The following is a 20,949-nucleotide window of genomic DNA, read 5'->3' on the forward strand; positions in this document are numbered from 1 at the left end:
GTACGTGACTAAGTTAATCTTCTTTAGAAGTAAGTAATGTCATTTCTGAGCCAAAATGATTAGAAGGCTATGATTTATGTTTGTCTAATTTTGCTTTAGGCAAGGGATATGAATTGTTCATGTAATGATTTTCAAAGGTGGTAATATTTTAATAAGGCTCTATATCTGAAAACTAAGTTAGTGGATTGGCTTTATTTAGGTAGTACAGAGTATTTAATGATACTGCAAGCTATCACAATCCTTTAGTAAGTGCTGCCTTAACAGTTTTCAGAAAGCCCTGTTGTATCTTAGGTTGAGTTTTATTTATTGCCCAATAAGAGAGCAAAAAAATTCTCTGTATAACTTTTTGCATAATGTTATTTAAAATTTTATTGACTCTTAGACTAATATGTGCATATTTCGAAAATTACAAAGACAAAATTAGGAATCATTCATTCCTACCCCAAAATAATTACTGTTTATATTTGAATATTTCTGCTTAGGTTTTTCTTTCTTCTGGCATCTTGTATACAAATGCATACTTCCTTTTAAAAGCACCATTGGGATCATACTTCTAAAATGCAGTTAGTTTAAAATCTCTTGGCCATTTTCATTGTGTCAGTCTAACTTCAGAGTCTTTGATCTTAGCTATTACATTATGTAGCTATACTACAATTTAATCATTCACGTCATTGAATATTTCCCACAGCATTTTGCATACATTTTAATTTGTATCTTTGAGTGTGACCTTAAGATAAAAATCCTAGAAATATACTTATCATTTAAAGGGTTGAAGATTTATGTGTTAGCAGGATGTGTGTAACTACTGCTTATTAACTCAAAAGTAGATCTACAGACAGTAAACAATCTCTGCAAACCTAATACCACATTAAGCCAAACTAACTCTTCATTAGAAACGTAGTTTAGTTCTTCTGTTGAATAAGCCAGGTTAGAGGACTTGTTTTCCTTTACCACTATTGCCAGACATTGTGTCTTGCTGCATTTTTTATATTCCTTCTATATTATTTCATCACAGATCACTGTGTTCAGGTTGCTTAAAGAAAATGCTATATGCTGTTAATGTTTCCAGTCAAAGCTCATAGACAAATAGAAAACTAAAAATTCAGGGGCTGGTTTATTCTTACCCTTAAGCTAATCAAACTAAAGAAAGCTAATGAACAGAATAGGAGACAGTTGTGGCCAAATTTAAAATGAATTGCAACTGGAAACACTACACCACATGTTAATAATGGTTTTGTTGGGCTTGTGGAATTAGAGTAATTTTTTTCCTTTTTTTCTATGGTTCCTAAGCTAGCATAATTTGAGCATATAATTTTAAATACCTAAAGAATTGCTTTGGTAGCATGTTTAACACATGTAATGCCAAGATATAAGGGCTCTTTACCAAAGAAAATTTTAAACCACTTCTGTCATTTAATAAACCAATGATATAATTATTTAAAAACTTATTTTAGTAGTATATGAGCCAGCCACACATTTTGCAAACCTGTAATTTGTGATTTACAATTACAAGAATGATGTTCTTGAGCAGTATGTCGACTGTGATATCCCTTTTTTTCTGCATTTGACTTATTTATTGGGAATCATACATTAACAAGGGTTTGCAAAACAGTACTAAATTTTCTCTAAGAACTAGTACCAGCAGAAGGGGTGCAAAGGGAGGAGAGAAGCAAAATCTTTTTTTGTTTTTTCTGCAGCTGTCATCTGGCCTTATGTTCTGATCAAGAGCTACAGCTGGAATTATTTTATTGCTTTACTCTGTATCCTTTTGCCTCCACACACAAAATTGCTATAGAAGTCTTTGAAAAATAAAAAGCTAGGCACTTATCAACCATAAGAGAATAATTCTTACACCAGCAGCTGAGAGTAAAACAAATTTTCATTGTGCATTAACTATTGGCATGGGTTACTTTGTAGACAATACACATTAGCCTGTGCCAGCATACAATACTAAAAGCACTGAAAGTGAGTATATATAAATGCTATAGATGTAATTTTTTTTAAGCTAGAGGTCATGCCAGTGTATTTACAGTCTTTGTGCCTATCATATATTAAACTTTTTGCTCTTGTGGAAGATTTTTGGCATTTCTCACCACCTAATTTTATGTTATGTTCATGTTTCCATAGTAATTGTCACTTTTCAGGGGTTATAACCCAGTTAAAAAAAAAATAGAAGTTTGTCTAAGTCTGAACACTTTATGCTCAATCATATCCAAATTAAGAAAGTGTTTTGGTTATTAGTACAGGTTGAGCATCCCTAATCCACAATTCAGAATGTTCCAAAATTCAGATTTTCTTAAGCACTGACATGTGGCTCAAAAGAATGCTCAGATTTTGAATTTTTTTTACTAGGGTAGGTATATTGTATTATATTATATTATATCATACGCATTTATACTTAGGTTGAACATCCCTAATATAAAAATTAGGTAAGCAGTAAGGCCCAGTGTGGGCAGAGATGTAAGGAAATGTATCCTCTGTCTTAAACAATTAAGGGGTTTTCAGTTGATAACATAAGTTTGCCAAAGGGTAGCTTGGTAATATAATTGAATATGTGTATATACTTTATTCAACAATTCCATTTATAGGAACTAATAATAAATAATACAAGTACACCAAGATATATGTAAAAAGAAGTACATTACAATGCATATAACAAAATTTTGGAAACCTAAATGCCCATAATCAGAGTATTAGCTAAGTAATATATGACATATGCAATACTGGACTTCTTTGCAGCAGTTGCAAAGTGTAACTTGTATACTGGTATGGGGAAAGGTCCATGGAATGTTAAGGAGTGAAGAAAAAGAGCACTGTGTGGATAGACTGCAATATAAATGGGATCAAATTATACATAGCATGTAAACACATGTGCATGCATTAGGAAGTTTAGGAAGATATATGTCAAATAGTAATAGTGGCTATTCCATGGGGGTAGGATTATGGAAATAATTTTTATTGTTTTTATAACTTGAACTTTGAATAACAGTTATTGAAAGATATTTTTTGCCAGGTGTGATAGCTCATGCCTGTAATCCCAGCAGTTTGGGAGGATGAGATGGAAAGACTGCTTGAGCCTAGGAGTTCAAAACCAGCCTGAGCAACATAGTAAGACTCTGTCTCTACCAAAAGCAAAAAATTAGCCAGGCATGATGGAGTCCACCTGTAGTCCCAGCTACTCAGGAGGCTGAGGTGAGAGGATCATTTGAGCCTAGAAGGTCAAGGTTACAGTGAGCTGTGATCGTGCCACTGCATTCCACCCTGGGCAACAGAGCAAGACCTTGTCTAGCTAGCTAGCTAGAGTGTTTAGATTTATTATGGCTTAAGGAGCTCTCTCTATACACTTTTTTTCTAATGTATCACATTTACTCCTGAGGTATCAATGTGATCTGATTATTGGATATTTGCATGTCACAGATTATAGAATTTTCAGTGTGTGCCAGGCATATAGTTCTATGCTCCAGGGATAAAACTTAGGCAGAGCCCTCCTTACAGGTTGTCCTAGTTCATTCTAGCTGCTACAGCAAAATGCCGTGACTGGGTAGCTTATAAACAAAAGTAATTTGTCACCATTCTTGAGTCTCAGAAGTCCACTCAAGGCACAGACTGTGCCTGGTGAGGGCCCACTTTCAGGTTCATAAGTGATACTTGGCTATATCCTCACATGGTGGAAAGAACAGGACAGCACTCTGGAGTCTCTTTTATAAGGGCACTAATCACATTCATGAGGGCTCTACCTTCCTAATTGAATCATAGCCCCACCTCCTAATACTATCATATTGGTAATTAGATTTCCACATATGAATTTTGTGGGGGACACAAACATTCGGAGTATAGCACTGGTTCACAGGAAAAACGTAAGTAAAAGAGTACTCAGAATATAGGGTGATAGATACATATAATTTTAAGGTAATTCAAAGGAGGGAGTGATTAACTTGTGACTGAATCAACAAAGACTTTTTGATGAGTTTGTAGCTGAGGTTAAGCATAAAACAGTTTTTTAGTGGAAAATTTGAAGCATGTCATTGTTGGGCAGAGGAATTGACATGTACCAGAAAATCAGAAGTATGAAACATCAGATGCTAACAGAAAGAGACAGGTACATCAATATTTGTAAAGCAAAGAAATGAGGATGAAAATCAGTAGGAACAAGCCATATTAAGAAAGTATATTGACTATTTTAAAGTAACAGACTGTGTGTTCATTTATTCTTTTGTTCATTCTTGGAGTTTCTTATTCACATAAGGAAAGCCACTATATAATTTTTAATAAGATGGATCCATTATAATAGAAATTAAATAGCAGAAATACATATAAGAGTGAACAGTGTGACAGTACCTAGTCTTGGTAAGAATATGGAGCACCGATTGTGAATACATGAATTGTTCAAACCACCTCAAAAATCATTTTCATTATGAGAACTGGAACATATGTATATCCTGTGACCCAGTATTTCTATTCTTTGTCTTCTAGAGAAACTTTTTGTCATATATACCATAAGGCCTATACACTATTATTCCTAGCAACATTTATTGAAATAGCAAAAAATTAGAACTGCCCAAACATCCATAGACAGAGAATAGATTAATAAATTGTAGTGTTCTTATCCAGACTCTGCCGCCTAGTAACATTTATTTTAGGCAAGTTGCTTAATCCCTTTGAATTTTAGTCTCTTCATACGGAGTAGGTTGATAATACTATGTACCTCAAAGGATTATTGTGAAGATTGAGTTAACCCATGTAAAGTAGTTGAGACTGTCTGATACACAGAAAATGCTCAATATATTTTAGCTATCATTGGTACACAGAGGTCAAAATGACTGATTATTGCTACACATGTCAAGGTGAATGAATTTCACTGAAAAAAAATTGAGCAAAAAATTTCAGAATGTCCCATGATATCAGTCAGTTCAAAAGCATCTATAACTAAATATTGTTCAGGGATATTTGTGTAGTAAAACTGTAAAGAAGATAAGAAAATGAAAAAAAATATGACTTCAAGATAGGGTTTATCTGCTGAGGGTCCAAGTGGTAGAGGTGGGGGGTGCTAATACAGAGAAACACAGAGGAGTAATTAGTTGTATTGGTTATGTTCACTTTCCTTAAGTTGGGTGACAAATGTACACGTTCTATTATTCTTTGTATGATTATGTGTATAGTCCTTTATACATATAAAATAACTCCTTGGAGAGAGAACCCATGAATCCCCTGGTTCTAGCCTCAACTCCACAGAACTATATTGATAGTTTCTGGTATTTTAAAAGTAAAAATATGAATCCATCAATTCATCCTTCTATCAGTTAGACAAATGGGATCATGCCATGTTGACTGTTCTGTACCTAGCTTTTTTCATTTAACAATACCTTGGGAATACTGAAAATATCATTTTAATAGCTGCACAGAATTCTGTCATATATCTTAATTTTTGACCAGTTCCCTGCTGGTAGAGCCATAAGATATTTTGATTCTTGTTTTCTTTGATATTTTGATTCTTGTTTTCTTTATTTTTGTTAAAAAATAGTGCTACTGTGATTGTGTATGTGTGTGTGTGTATCTGTATATACAGTCAATCTCTCAAAGTAGAAATGCTGGGTCAAAAAGTACGGATTTTTTTTTTTTCCAGTGCCATTATCAAATTGCACTCTCACCAACAGCGCAAAAAAGTATTTCTATTTCTCCAAACCCTTGCCAACATTGAGTATTACTACCTATTTTTTACATCTTTCCTAGTTAGTATATAAAAATGGCATTATACTTTCATGTGTCTTTAATTGAATGGTCAGTATGTTTTTATATACTTACATTCCATTTCTTTTTCATAGGAAAATAAAATTGGGCTTTATCTTGTGAGTCTCATGTTTCCCAGGAAGAGAGGGCTCATTTCTATGTACTGTGTAAATTATGTACCTTGCAAAAGAGTTCCTTAGCTAATACTTATTCTCCTCCCTGTCCTCTCCAGTACGTGCCCAGTCTTCCAACAAAGCTTTGGTAATTGGAAACCTTAAGGGGTTTTGAACAGAAAAACCAATTAGATTTGCCTGAAGAATAATGGGACAAAGGCTGGAAACAAGGAAATCAGTTAGAAACCTACTGAAATAAGACAGGCAAAAAAAGATAATGAGGGCTTTGCACTAAGACAGTGAATAGTAGGTATTGAGAAGAGGAAATGGATGTGAAAGATACTCAGAAGATTACCTTGTTTAGAAAATTATTTTATTGACATAAAGACATATTCTGCATGAATTCAGAAGGATTTGGGCAAAGGTATAGTATGTCTCAGTTAATTATTTCAGATGAAGAGGGAAAATGTATTTAAGCTAAAAAATGATTTCATTGTTACAGTATATTTGTATTATATTTTTAAATATTATGATTTATCAGGCACAATGGCCTATACCCGTCTGTAGTATCAGCTACTATTTTGAGGCCAGGAGTTTGAGGCCATCCTGGACAACATAGTAAGACCCTGTCTCTTGAAAAAGAAAGGCAAAACAGGAATAGAATTGATGCTAAACCTGCCTCATTCTAGCAATAATATTCATAAACATGTTAATTGAAAAAAAGATCAGTCTCATTGAGTTACACCTCTAATAAAGTTTAAAATAATAAAAATTTAAAATATAAAATGATTCTATATCAAAAGGGAGAAAGTATGCAGTACCTTGATTTTAAAATTATGTAAAAGCAGGCTTACAAAATTGGAAAATTAATCATACCACCAAGGAGTATTAGCCTTCATTTTATTTCCAACTTTTTATCTTTTTATGGCTATGATAATACTGTAAATAAAATTTTATGTACTGACTTTTTAACACTAAACATTTCCTACATTGTATATTATATTATTCCCAAACCTGATTTCAAATGACAACACCGTATTTCACTTTATGGGCATATCATAATTTACTTCACCTTTCCCTTATTATGCCATGTTCAAGTTGTTTCTTTTTACTATTTAAAATAGTTCTCTACCTAAAGGAAAAGAAGTCATACGAAAAAGTTTCTTGCATATGCATGCTTAGAGCACTATAATTTGCAATTACAAAAATATGGAACCAGCCCAAATGCCCATCAATCAATGAGTGGATAAAGAAAATGTGTGTGTGTGTGTGTGTGTGTGTGTATGTGTATGTGTGTGTATATATATATATAATATTATATATATGTTATATATATAATATTTTATATATATGTTATATATATTATTTGAGTCATTTTCAGAAATCTCTGGAACAAATACATTTCCTGAAGTTTTCTACTCTTCCCAATTTTGATTATATATATACACACACACACACTATGGAATACTACTCAACCATAAAAAGGAAAGAAATAATGGCATTTGCAGCAACCTGGATGGAATTGGAAACTATTCTAAGTGAAGCAACTCAGGAATGGAAAACCAAACATCATAGGTTCTCACTCGTTCTCACTCATAAGTGGGAGCTAAGCTATGAGGTCACAAAGGCATAAGAATGATATGTTGGACTTTAGGGACTCGGAAAAGGGTGGGGGTGGTGAGGGATAAAAGGCTACACATTGGGTACAGTGTACACTGTTTGGGTGATGGGTGCACCACAATCTCAGAAATCACCACTAAAGAACTTACTCATGTGACCAAACCACCTGTTCCCCAAAAAAACTAGTGAAATAAAAAACTTTAAAACAACAACAAATAATAATTCTGAGAAAAATACTTTGTGCCTAAAGCTTTTTCCATTTTAGTACTCTTTTTTTCTTTGCTAGATTCAAGAAGTGGTCAAAATGTGTGAATGTTTTAAAAGCTTTTGGTACATTTTATTAAATGCTTTTTTATTGCATTATTATTAAAATTGCTTTCCAGAAAGAGTTGTTCCAGATTTTATTTTACTTCTGTGTGTGTAGAATTAGCAATGAGTATGCCTGTTTTCCTTATCACCACTTTTTAAAAAACCTGTAAATTTAATATGCATTTAAGCATTTAACTTGCTGAAAGAGTTAATTAGGTAGTAGGAAGATACTTTTTTCTAGTTTAGGATTCTCTATAATGTTAATTTGATTCTTACAATTCATGAATAATATATACTTCATTGTAGATTGTATACTTTGCATTTTCAAACAGTCTTTTGTTTGCCATATCAGACACTTGAATGATGCTTTGGTTATTTTATTCACTGAGACCCGTTTAGGTGTGTAGCTATAAATTCACTGTGCGATATGAACTATTCCTAGTTAATAGGTTAATTCCAGCTATATTGGTAAACATTTAAAAATCATTTGTTACTTAAATATTACACACAATTTAATAATGAAGCAATAAACACTTGTGATATTTTCTTTAAAAAAGTATTATATTTAAAGTAAAATGTGTTAATGTTTAATTTACAGGATATAAATAGAATAACCCAACTCAGTACAGCAAGACACTAAGTTTGTTCATATGCAGATATTTTTAAAGTCAGCTTTATTTTAATTTATAATTTTAATATAACTTCTCAGTTATTATAATTTAGTAAAAGATAATTCAAAAAAGTCACAATTAAAAGCAATATCTTATAATTACCACTGATACTACTCCTAAAACTTATGATTGTTTATAGTTTTCAGTCTCCTGAGTATCCCAACCCTGAGATTATTGAGGCAGATATTCAATTTATAATAAAAAGAAATTGTGCGCCTGTAATCCCAGCACTTTGGGAGGCCGAGGCGGGTGGATCACTTGAAGTCAGGAGTTCGAGACCAGCCTGGCCAACATAGTGAAACCCCATTGCTACTAAAAAAAAAAAAAAAAAAAAAAAAATAGCTGGGCGTGGCGGCGGGCTCCTGTAATCTCAGCTACTCAGGAGGCTGAGGCAGAGAATTGCTTGAACCTGGGAGGTGGAGGTTGCAGTGAGCCGAGATTGCATCACTGCACTCCAGCCTGAGTGACAAGAACAAGACTCCATTTCAAAAGAAAAAAAAAAGGAAAGAAATTGTGGTTTAGAGAAGTTAGACAAGATTCTAACTTAGGTCTTTTCTCACCCATTTTTGTTTTGTTTTGTTTTTTTTCTCCCAGTATTCTATTCAGTTTGCTTATGATTTTTGACAATTATTTGAGTCATTTATTTTCAGAAATCTCTGGAACAAATAAATACGTTTCCTGAAGTTTTCTACTCTTCCCAATTTTGATTATGTATTTTGAAAGCATGTTTGCTGGGTATCAATGTTTAGCCAACATTTTTCCAATGTTTTATCAGCAACTGTCACAACACATTGGGACAGCTGTTATGAAAATTGGGTAAAAATAGCAGCCAGTTTTGACATAGTTTTAAGTGACAGTAGATTCTCAGATATATTTTTAATAGTTCAATTGCCTACTCCTTGATACAATAACAGCTTTTAGTTTCAAGAGCATTTTCAGTTATTACCATTATATCCTTATGATAACCCAGTGTCATAAAATAGCATCGGTATTACAATTATTTTCTAATTGAGAAATTGAATGCCAAAGGAATTAAATGAGACAAGGCTATTTTTTTTTCTGGAACAAATCTAGAACTTGCATTTATAAATTTAAAATATCTTAGTCATTTTTGAATTTTATTTGTTAATTTTAGAAGTAGCACCAACAAAATCTTTTAAAAAGAAAAGCTTATGAAAGGTTTGAACCCTTAAAATTGTTAGCCCTATAGTGATTACTCTGAATTATTTTAGAATAAGCTAGTGAAAGTATTTCAGCCACTTTTACTTGGATATCAGCTTTTTTCTTAAATAATTATACAGTGATGGGAAAAGTAACATCCCGTTTCTTTAAAAAATTAAATGAAACAAAGCCCTTCCAGGACTTTGTGTTTTGTAGTGTGCTAAATTTTACTTACTTAATATTTATTTTATATAAATTATTGTTTATGACATTTTAAGTGTCTTTAGTGTCATTTATTGAGCATATCTCCCAACCTAAGTCTAATAAGAGTACATGATTTAAATTCTACGTAATCAGCAAGTTGAGTCTAATTTATTCATTCACTCATTCAACACAATAGTAGACTAATGTTGTCTTCTGTCTTTTGACTCACTGTATCAACAGCAGAGTTCTTTGAACATTTTTTTAACTTGCAAAATAAAACATAGATTTGTGTTTTCTTCCTAATAATTTCTGCATTTCCTATGTACATTTATCACTTTTTATTATAGTTAAAAGCATTATTATAATTAGCTCTTCTACATGACATGGTTAGCCTTTTAGTTCTTCATGTTATTTTTAATAAGCCCATTTTTCTCGTGAAGTTGAATTTTTCTAAAAGTTCATATTATTGTATTTTGACATAGCTTTATAATCATGTACATTTGAGTTTTGGGAATTGCTATTCATAGCGATGGTAGCGATATATACTTATTGACTTGCTAAATACTTTTTAGAGTGAAAGTATCTTATTTTGTGGTGGTGGTGGTTTTTATTCTGGCAACTAATGCATTGAGGGTTGTTCCCAATAGGCAAATGAAGAGGATTCTTCCAGTTCTCTAGTGAAGGATCACCTTTTTCAGCAAGAGACAGTTGTTACCAGTGAGCCTTATAGAAGCTCAAATATAAGACCTTCTCCCTTTGAAGATCTGAATGCCAGAAGAGTCTACATGCAAAGCCAAGCCAATCAGGTAAGAAGATAAAATATTTTTTCGGCGCGTTGTTTATATGTGTAGAAATTGAATGATGTCATAGATAAGGACGTTAAAACCATCTGCCCTTTACCAGACACAGTAAACAAACAAACAAAAACCCCACAAACAAAACCAGGAGAATTTGATTTATAATGAGCCAAATCCAGAGTGAAACAATAAACATATACACCATAAAGTCCTATATGGGTGTAGCGATTGAGCAAGGGGACATCACAAGCATTCTTATTTTACCCCTTATCTCACAGGAAAGCTTTCAATATTTATCATTAATTATGATGTGTTTACTATATGTTTTTATAGATCTCTTTATTAGATTAAGAATAACCTTGTGTTCCTACAGAACTAAATTTTTATTACATGCTTTTTCTGCAGTAATTGAAGTGATTCTATTTTTTCTTCCCTTATTCTGTTTGTTAAATTGCAGTCATTGGTTTGCAACCTTGCAGTCTTGGAATAAACCCATCTTGGTTGCCGTGTGATGTATTCATTATACATATACATACATATATGTATACATTCAAGCATACATAAGATTCGATTTGTCAGTATTTCATCTTGGATTTTTAAGTCTGCGCTTATAAAAGAGATCAACATAATTTTCCTTTCTTATAATTTTTTTTTCTTTTTTTTTGAGACAGAGTCTCGCTCTGTCGCCCAGGCTGGAGTGCAGTGGCATGATCTTGGCTCACTGCAACCTCTGCCACCTGGGTTCAAGCGATTCTCCTGCCTCAGCCTCCCAAGTAGCTGGGATTACAGGCACCTGCCACCACACGTGGCTAATTTTTTTGTAGTTATTAGTAGAGATGAGGTTTCATCATCTTGGTCATGCTGGTCTTGAACTCCTGACCTATCCACCCGCCTCAGCTTCCCAAAGTGTTGGGATTACAGGCATGAGCCACTGCACCTGGCCCCTTTCTTACAATGTTTTTATTGGGTGTTGCTATCAGGGTATGCTGGCTTTATAAAATAAGTTGGACAGTATTTCTTTTTTGCATATGTGGAAGAGTTTAAGATTGGTAGTTATTTCTTTCTTAAATGTTTGGTAGAATTCCTTAGTGAAGCCACCTGGGCCTGGATTTTTTTTTTTTTTTTTTAGATGGTTTTGAATTACGGAATTAGTTTCTTTAACAGACACAGGACTATTCACCTTTCCTAATTCTTTTTGTGTCAGCTATGACAAGTTATAGTTTACAGTAACTTTGTCTGTTTCATCCAGATTTTCAAGTTCATTGGCATAAATATATCCCATTTTTCGTTGCTGATACTGAAAATAAGTGCCTTCTCTCCTTTGATTATTCTTGCTTAGGGGTTGATAAATTTTAGCCTTTTCAAAGATAACTTTTGGATTTTTTACTTTTTTAAATGTTTGTTTTCTATTTCATTTATTTCCGCTTCTAACTTCTATTTGCCTACACTATTAGGTTTTAGCTTTACCCTTCTTGGTTTTAGATTCTTGTGAAAGCATAGTTTCTTGATGTTTTTTTCAGCTTTTTTCCTTTTTTTCTCTCTTTTTCTAATGTATGTATTTAAGGCTATAAATTTTCATTTAAGTACTCCTCTATCCACATTTTACAATATTTTCTAGTTTATTCATTTTTAATGGAAAATTTTAGACATACCAGAGGTAGAATGAATAAAGAAGTGAACTACCGTATGCTACTCTGCTTCCAACACCTATCATTGGCAAAATGATGATATGCCCTATTTTTACCATTATCAGAAACGGGTTGTTTCATTTCTAAATATTTGGGGTTTTCTGGTTTTCTCTTTGATGTTACAAATAAAGATGATTTCATGTATGACTTCATTTTTTTGATATTTGTTGGAACTTGGTTGATGGCCCAGCATATATGGTCAGTGTTTTATGTGCATTAAAAAAGAATGCACATTTTTAGTAGTTGGGTATAGCAGCCTTTTTTGTTGAACTGATCCTTTTGTCATTATGAGATATCCTCTTTTATCTCTGGTAATACTTCTTGCCTAAAAATACTTTTTTGATATCTGATTACTTCAGTTTTCTTCTGGTTAGCGCTTTCACAATAGGTTTTTTTCTTTTTTCCTTCCAACATTTCAGACCTCTCTTTTAAACCATATATAGTTGGGTTTGGGTTTTTTTTTTTTTTTCCCCCAGGGTGTCTTTGTCTTTTAATTGGAGTATTTTGTTCATTTACTTTTAGCACAATTATTGATATAAATCTACCATTTTATTCATTTTTTATTTGCCCCATTTGCTGTGTTTTTTTTCCTTCACTTTGCTTATTCAAATATATTTAACTACTTGATTCTTATCCCTTTATTAGCTAATTAGTAATACAGCTGTTAAGTATTTTTAGTGGTTATCCTAGAGATTACAAATGTATCTTGCATCCTTAAAATCTATCCTGTATTAATGTTTTACATTTTCAGGGTAATGCACATATCTACAGTATCTTAACTCAGTTTACCTCCCTTTTACCTTTTATGTAACTGTCATTACAAACTTTATAAAATTTAAAACCTTGCAAAAATACTATTTTAAACAGTTAGCATTCATTTAGGTTTATTCACCTTTTTATGACTTTTGACATTCTTCAATACCTTATGTATTATACTTCCATCTAGGATCATTTGCTGTTTATTGGTGCTTGCTGAACCTCAGTTTTCATTTATCTGAAAAAAATCTTTTATTTCCTTCATTTTTGAAGGATGTTTTGCTTTTCATTGAATTCTGTTATAATTTATTTTCTTTCATCAATTTAAAAGATGTAATACCATTGAGAAGAAGTTTCTACCCTTCCTATTAAGAAATAATATCTTTATTGTTTTCAGATGTTTTATTATGCTATACCTATGTATTAGGTTATGTATTTTGTTTTGGTTGTATAAAGCTTCTGGAATCTGTGACTTGATGTCTTTGAACAGATTTAGAAATTTTCAACCAGTAGCTCTTTAAATATTGTTTGAAGCTCAGGGAGAGTTAAAGACTGGAGATAAATTTTGGAAATCATTATCAGAGAATGAAAATTGAAACTATGAGGACAGTTAGAATTATTTTGGAAGACTATATATGTTCTATTTTAAAACTATTAGCGGTAGGGAATCACTACATATTGAGACAGTGAGTTAAGAAAGAGCGGTCACATTAGGAGAACCCAGAAAAGGATGTCTCAGAAGCCCAGGGAGGACAGTGATGGAGTAAGGAAAGGAAATGATGGAGTAGTTAATATTTTACGACATAAATGCCCCAATAAAATTCAAATTCATCTCTATAAAGGTAATTGATAACCGTACCACAGTTTCAGTGGGATTAAGAGGTGTGCATGACTGGAGAGGAAACAAAGATGATGTTTGCTAGCCACTTCTCTAGAAGCTTGACTACAAAAGCCTTCCTTAACAAATAGATGGAGTTAGAGGGGTGCAGGGTCAAGAAATGAATATGGTCATAAGATGAAGAAAGTGGAGAAATTAAAAGATTCAGGACAGAGAAAAAAATTGATAGAGAAAGGCACAACGGAGACTGTAAAGACAGGAGAATTGCATGAGAAAAGATAAAATTACTTCATTTTCCAAGGTGGAAGTGAAGTTTAGGTAGAGTTACAGATTTGCTATTGAGACAGAAAGTTAACGAAATTGAAACTTGATTAATTCGGCATTGTGGGCCCTACTATTCTTGTCCTAAAGTCTTAAAAGTGAGTAGAGAGAGAACAAAAAAACTTCTAGATCATCTGGGAGCTTTTCTTCCAGCAACTCTCATACCATAGCAAATACAGTTTGAATTACTCAAGGTAGACACAGATTGTACAAGGCTCCAGGTAAGTCTCCCAGGCTCCCTATAGCTTTATTTTTCACTAATCATTATTATTAATGTTTATCATAGCTGGTACCTATTATGTGCTAGATACTGTTTTAAGTGCTTTACTTATATAACTCATTTTAATCCTCTCAACAAACTGGCAAACTACCTAATTTTAGTGATTAAAAATTATCTGTAGTTTATGTATGTTATCCAAATTTATTATGAAATTTTATAAAAAATTAAAGAAAAATTAAGATATTGGTACAAGAAGGAAAAAATTGAAAGCCAGTTTTACTTTGAGCAAAATAATTGCAACAATAAAGGCTAAAAGCAATCTGCATATTTTCGCTAGAGATTTTGAGATATTAAAAGGAACCCACCAGGAGTCATACTTGCTTATAAACTTCCAGGCATCCTGTGAGACATTTGAATCTGGAGATACTCAGTTTAACAGTTTTAAGTACAAAATGTTTTCCCACATATTGAGTGGCGGGCAGAAGAACTCATCTCAACATAGGAGAGAGTGGAAGTATGCATATCCTGAACTAAGTCACTGATTCATACAGTTGAGCAGGGAAAGAAAACACGGTGAATGTAACACAGGGATGTTATGATATACCAGTATTCCTCATCGCAGGCCCTGGGAATTTATTTGGCCTACCTTCTTTGGCTGAAAGAACTGTAAATTTAAAGGTCTTCTTTTGATTGATGGGGAAAAAGAACTGAACTCTTCTCCCAAAATAGTGATGGCGGTTATGATGGGGTGGTTGAAGAATGTAGTCATCAGGTAGAAAGTACAAAAAGTGCTGAATAACTGCAAGAGAGAGAAGTGAACAACATTTGGCAGACAGCTCTTAGCTTTGGGATTATGACATGGCCTCTAGAGCTATTCTGTTTGGGTCTGAATTCCAACTTCTTTACTTACTAGCTGTGTGGCCTTGGGCAAGCTACTTAGGTTCTTTGTAGCTTAGTATCCTCATCTGTAAATTGGAATAATATCGGTATCTACCTCCTAGAGTTGTTATGAATATTAAATAATTAATGTTGTATATAAAGCACTTAGGAAAAATGTTAAATAGAACAATAATACTCGTAAGTAATTCCTTGTAATTGATAATTTCTTATCTCCAAGATTGATGTGACTTAGAGAAACAAGGGTTATATTATATGAATTGCATAACTAGATGTTTATACATTTGCTGGTGTTATAATTGGTGAACTTCTCAATTTAACAGGAATTAGAATGGAATGGTTTACTCTTTTAAAGCTGCAGTAGACTGTAGCTATACATACAGTAAAGAAATATTGTAGAAGTTTCTTAATAGGAATAAAACACAGTTCCATTCAGCACACTGCTGTTAGGATAGTGTAGCAGTTTTCCATTTGTATGTGACCAAGAAGGCCTCACAGGATGAGTTTTTCCATGGTAGAGAATCTGGCCCTCAGCTTGCAGACCAGACACCTTATTTTCTTAGGATACTAGGACTAAAGTCGTCTTCAGAGATTCAAATAATTGAGTTTAAGAAAATGATATGTGAAAATCAGAACATAAAATTTTATTTCAACCATCATGAGGACTGTAGTTACTTGCAGTAGCCTGATTAACACATTCTCTACCTAAAATAGGTCTTTATGAGATCATCACTAAAAGCTAACTTGGTGAGTGTAAATGCTCGACAAAATAACTATGTCTTTTGAATGTTTAATTGCATTCAACTGGGGTAAGTTGATGGATCCTTTTCTACAACAGAGGAACAACCTTGCCAAAAGGACTAGACAACTGCCTTGATGAACTATAAAGATTAAGCTAGCAAGTTAACGTACTAGTTTTGTGAATCCTGCTGAAGACATGGCTGCTGGGTCAGACAAAGGACTTTATTATTATTCACAGTACAATAGTAGCATGAGCTTCATGTTTGTGTTGGTTTCCCTTGCTCCTCCAAATCCCATGGGAATGATGCTCAGGAATATGTTGTCCACTCGGTGGGTTTGCATCCCAGCATTGGAACCCTGAACTTAGGGAAGTCAAGTCTTTTGTAATGACTTTTAGTGCACTTCAGTAGCCTGCCTTACTTGCTGAGGAAGGAGATACTGTCTTTGTTATACTGGACACTAAACAAGCCTGTCTCCAAAGGGGAAACACTGTGTCTTTCAAGGGTTTCACTGTACAGACGTCCTTGAAAAGATAGTCTAAAACAAAAGGCCGATAGTGCATATGTTCACTAGATCTGCAGAGATGGGACCCATAAGGAATTGTCAACTACGCTAGTTTATGTTCCCTTAGTAATGCTTAAATAGGCATTGCCAGTATTTGTCTTTGACTCGTTTTTTAATGCTTTGAAGAGCTAGTAAATCTTTTGAGGTCAGGCATGGTTGCTCACACTTGCAGTCCCAGCACTATGGGAGGTCGAGGTAGAAGGATCACTTGAGACTAGGCATTTGAGACCACCTGGGCAACATAGCAAGATTCCATCTCATATATCATGGTGGTACGCGCCTGTAGTCTCAGCTACTCAGGAGTCTAAAGCCTGAGAATTGCTTGAGCCAGGGAGGTCCAGGCCACAGTGAGCCACGTACGCCATTGCACCCAACCTGGGTGATAGAGTGAGACCTTGTCTCAAAAAAAAAAAAAATCCTCTGGATGGATAGATACATTGTTTCAAAGTCTTATAGGCCTGGAAGCCATTATAGTTCTTTAACTCAGTTTCTCTTACTTTCACGGGTTCATTTCCCTGTAGACAAATATGACAGCATATTTCAAAGATTTATGACATGTTTAATACATAAAAAAGAATGTATTCACTGAATACTTGAGAAACCACGAAACAACTTAAAAAAGGAACACCCCCAATCTATACCTTTGCCTTCATCCTAGAGGTAACTATTACCTGGAATTGTATTTGTCTAACATTCTCATGCTTTCCTTGATAGTTCTAAAACTTGTTTCTTTTTATTCTCCCAATTGGATATTTCAGTTGTTTTCAGGTTTTTATTGTTACAGGCATACTGCTAGTACAAACTTTCTTGTCCGCAGCTATTCATGTGCATGAGTTTCTTTGGAGTGTTCAGGAGTGGACTTTTTACATTGATGTGCTACAGAAGGTTCTGGGACAAATTGGACTTTAGGATTGATGTGTACCACCTACAGGGGATATGTATTGAGTATTTGAAAGACTTCGGAAATAACTGTGATTGTTCCTTTACAAATGGATTTTAACTGCATGCTTTCATATGGCCTTGTTACTAGGTAATCAAATGTTCTGTGTTACTTCCCTGTATATTCTGGATTCAGATCTTTCTGAGTTTTATTTGTGGCTAGTATCTCCTAGTTGGTGATTATTTTTCACTCTTTGTGGTGTTTTGGTGAGCAGACATTATAAATTTTAATGCAGTTGAATTTATCATTTCTCATTATTTTTACAGACTCTTCCCTATCCTCATCTTAAAGATTTTCTTCCTAATCTAAAAGTTTTAAAGTTTTGTCTTTAATCCACTTTAATTTGATTTCTCTTCTATGGTAGGGACCAAATTTTATTTTTTCCACATAGGTTACTAATTGTCCCCGCACTGTTTATTGGAGCCTTTCCCCGCACTGATATGCAGTACCATATCTGACACATCAATTCTCTATATATGTTTGAGTCTGTTTCTGATGTCTCTAATCTAAATTAGTGTCACATTGTCATCTTTACTGTAGAAATGCTGTAGCTCTATAATAACTTAATATTTGTAGAGAAAGTGCCTAACTTTGTTTTCCCGCTTGGATCTTTTTTTTTTTTTTTTTTTTTTTTCAATTTGGCTGTTTGCCCTTTTAAAATATTTAGAATCAGCTTGTCAAATCTGATGAAGAATCCTTTTGTGGTTTATATTTGAATTGCGCTGAATGTGTGTGTTAGTTTAGGGGATAATTTATCATCTTATTCGTGAATATGATATATACCTCTGTTTAGCTCTTCTTCTGTATCTTTACATAAAACTTTGTATTTTCTTTGTGAAAAGATAATACATATTTTATAGGATTATTTCTTTGTACCATTTTTGTTGTTCTATTATAAATGGAATCCTTTTAAAATTTTAATTGTGACCAGCTTTGAAGAAGCATCTCTTATGACTTTTTCAGCTGATAAATTTTCCTGAAGATTATAGCAAAAGTACCAAATTTTGAGGGTATTAAAAAGCAGAAATTAATTGGGGTGTATCTTATCACATCTGTTTTTAGTAAGTGTGAAAAGGTCAATATTGTCCATTTATTTGTCTTTTCACTTAGAGATTGTGTGAGAGAACTAATATTCATAGACCCTGTTGACTCAGGTAGTTTTCAAAGTGTGTATGTGTTTAAGTGGTGTGTGTGACTTTTTTCTGAGACAGTGGTGAGAAAATTGACATTTTTACTCTTTAGAATAGTTCTTAGAAATGTATATTTAATATACTAGTTGAGGTCATTGTGTTCTATCAGGAAAAAAAATTGTTCTCTCTGCTTCCTTTTGTGTAATGTTCTTCTGTTTTTCTTTTTTTCACTTGACCAAATATCTAGCTTATTCTGTGTTTACTTCAAGTCGCATTTCCTTTCATGCCTTCCCAGACCATTTAATCCATAGTTATTTCCTCTTGTTAATTTCTAAATTCTTACAGATTCTACTTATAAACATAGAATGGCCTCCATATTGTATCATTAAATGCAGAGACCAAGGGCACAGTACAAAGGGTCCTATTTTAAAGATCTGTGTGTGTGTGTGTGTGTGTGTCTGTGTGTGTAAAAATTTTTGGAGGAATGCACTAAAAAATTTTTTTTATGATAGTTAACTTTTAAAACTGGGTCTGAAAGGTCTAAGATGGAAGGAAGAGTTTTACTTCATGTGCTTTTATACTATTTGAAAATTTTGCTATCTGCATGTATTACTATTTATTTTCAGGGTTATAGTGTTTATTAAGTATGTAACAGTAGGAGTTGGCTCAAAATTATCTGGAAAAATAAGAAGTAAACAAGATTGCCAAAATGTTGATGATAAGTGAAGCTAGATAATAGACCCATGGTGATTCATAACATTATTCTCTCCTTTTATGTATATTAGAATTTTTCACCATAAAATTTTAAAAATTAAACATTGATATATTCTAGCTATAATTTAGGTCTGAAATGGGCTTTGCAATTCGAAACACTTGTAAATGTATCAGGACACTAAAGATTCCTATTTTTTTATTGCTATATAATTCACCTACCACAAAATCATCCTTTAAAAAAGTATGTAATTTGGTGGTTTTTATTATATTCACAAGATTGTGCAGCCATCAGCAGTATCAAATTCCATATCACTTCCCAAAAAACCCACACTGATTATCAGTCATTGCCCCTCCTTCCCTATTCCCAGCCCCTGGCAACCATTATTGTGACATGTGTAACTACTTTATTTCTCTTTGTGGTTGAATAATATTCCACTCTATGGATTTACTACATTTTGTTTATCCGTTCATTAGTTGATGAATATTTGGGTTGTTTGTACTTTTTTGACTATGTATTCATTACTTGTTAAAGTTTAAATATGTAAGAAAAGACCTATGGTTTTTGTTTGTGTTTTAGGTGGGGGGAAATGATTCTATTTTTATTCTCAAAACCGTTTTTGAAAAACTTTACTGCTAATAAATTATGAGGTTTTGGAACATACACTGTACAGTTTCATTAAAAGTAAAATTCTTGTGTCATTTAAGTAGAAATTGTTTGTATTTTAGATAACATTTGGTCAGCCAGGCTTGGACATTCAGAGCAGAAGTATGGAATACGTACAGCGGCAAATATCCAAGGAATGTGGAAGCCTAAAGTCCCAAAATAGGGTAAGTAATGTTAGTTTATCTTGTGATATGGAATTTAACTAATTAATAGATAGGTAAAGTTTTCCAGTCTTTCTAATTCTCCATATAGTTGAATTGTACTAGAAAATTTTTCATTGTATAAATTTGCTGCCTATGTGCTTAAACGCTGTTAGTTAAAAACTCTGCAAACTTCTCATTTGAGTCTAAAAGATTGCCAGAGCTGCATTTATTAGATAGGACCAAAAGGAATTATATATTGTTAATTAAATAAACTGTATCTGTCACCCCACCTTTAGCTCAGACCTAGAATTTTCTTAGCCCTAATTCCATGTATCTAGGAAATAGAAGTTTGCCCCAAACTGAGTCAGATGCTTACTTGTAGTAGACTAGTCACTGTGTCCAGGGACTGGAGCTAAAGATACAAATTTGTCTACTTAGAAGCCTGCATTTATGGATGATGTAAGGGGTCAAAAGACTTAATTTTGTTCTTTGGCCTCAAAGAACCAACCTTCCCAGAAGGGTTGTGGAAGTAGGGGTATTTTACGTCATTGTTCAGAGACTTTTTGTGTACCCAAGCTACACACATGTGTGTCTTTGTATTAATTTGCTAGGACTCCCACAACAAAATATTACAGACTGGGTAGCTTCAACAACAGAAATTTATTTTCTCACAATTCTTAGAAGTTCAAGATCAAGGTTGTTGGTAGGTTTGGTTTCTTCTGAGGCCTTTC

The 20,949-nt window shown here is 33.4% G+C and overlaps 1 protein-coding gene across 5 annotated transcripts in view; it reads left to right on the top strand.

Moving 5' to 3' along the window:
• Positions 1–20,949, top strand: part of SPRED1 (sprouty related EVH1 domain containing 1) — a 104,414-nt gene that overhangs the window by 76,449 nt on the left and 7,016 nt on the right. For all 5 annotated transcript variants that reach the window (XM_047432199.1, XM_047432200.1, XM_005254202.4 and 2 more), the window contains 2 exons: positions 10,453–10,611; positions 20,138–20,239. In XM_047432199.1, coding sequence (XP_047288155.1) covers positions 10,453–10,611; positions 20,138–20,239 — 261 coding nt within the window. The remainder of the gene's footprint in view (positions 1–10,452; positions 10,612–20,137; positions 20,240–20,949) is intronic.

The sequence above is a fragment of the Homo sapiens genome, chromosome 15, assembly GCF_000001405.40.
Source record: "Homo sapiens chromosome 15, GRCh38.p14 Primary Assembly".
Lineage (NCBI taxonomy): Eukaryota > Metazoa > Chordata > Mammalia > Primates > Hominidae > Homo > Homo sapiens.